The sequence below is a fragment of the Homo sapiens genome, chromosome 5, assembly GCF_000001405.40.
Source record: "Homo sapiens chromosome 5, GRCh38.p14 Primary Assembly".
Lineage (NCBI taxonomy): Eukaryota > Metazoa > Chordata > Mammalia > Primates > Hominidae > Homo > Homo sapiens.
Genome location: NC_000005.10, coordinates 173,981,146 through 173,981,855, shown reverse-complemented (window position 1 = coordinate 173,981,855; position 710 = coordinate 173,981,146). Strand labels below are relative to the sequence as shown.

Here is a 710-nt window from a genome sequence, read left to right as displayed (position 1 = left end):
TGGGGCAAGATCTCAGCCCTGCTCACTGGATGACTGGATATAAACTTTGTGTGTTGTTGGTGGGGCATGGAGGGAGTGAGACTGGCCTTGCTGGCTGCGTGGGAGCTGAGGCCTGTCATGGCCAGCTTTCCCTGACTTCCCTGGCAACCTGTATGATGCGGCAGAGGTAGCCTTAATCCCCCTGGGAACATAACTCCATTGGCCTGAGACCTACACTCAATCCCCACAGCAGCCACAGCAAGCCCCTGCCCAAGAAAAGCTTTAAGCTCAGACACACCAGCCCTGCCCCCACCTGATTGTTTTTCTCTACTCACCCTGGTAGCTGAAGACAAAAGACCTTAACTCGTGGGATCTCTTTGACCCTGCCCATCGCCTGAGAAACCCGAATACTTATCCAGGTGTTTAGGGCAAGCTTGTATTCTCCCCATACTACTACAGCTGATGCTGTCTTGAAAGTGCCACCTCCTGGCTGGTGGCCAACCAACTCATGCTGTCATGGCAACTCATAAAAACCCTTCTCCAAGAAGGGAGAAGACAACAGCTAATTCCACTGTCTGCAACATCCTGGATAACCAGAAGTCTTGAGTCTGTCCATGTGACAACTTCACTGCTAATGCAACCAGCATTCAAGAAAGCTAGCACACTAAACAAAACTACAGCTAAGGATCCTCACCAAGGACCCTCACCAGAGCAGGAGCTGGTATCCACAG

The 710-nt window shown here is 51.4% G+C and overlaps 1 annotated feature.

Annotated features, from left to right (window-relative positions):
- Window positions 1-502: an enhancer, noted in NCBI's record as "H3K27ac hESC enhancer chr5:173408357-173408858 (GRCh37/hg19 assembly coordinates)". NCBI's record gives its function as "activates a minimal SCP1, AML or CMV promoter by ChIP-STARR-seq in naive and primed H9 embryonic stem cells {active_cell/tissue: H9 hESC(naive and primed)}" and the evidence as "EXISTENCE:reporter gene assay evidence [ECO:0000049][PMID:30033119]".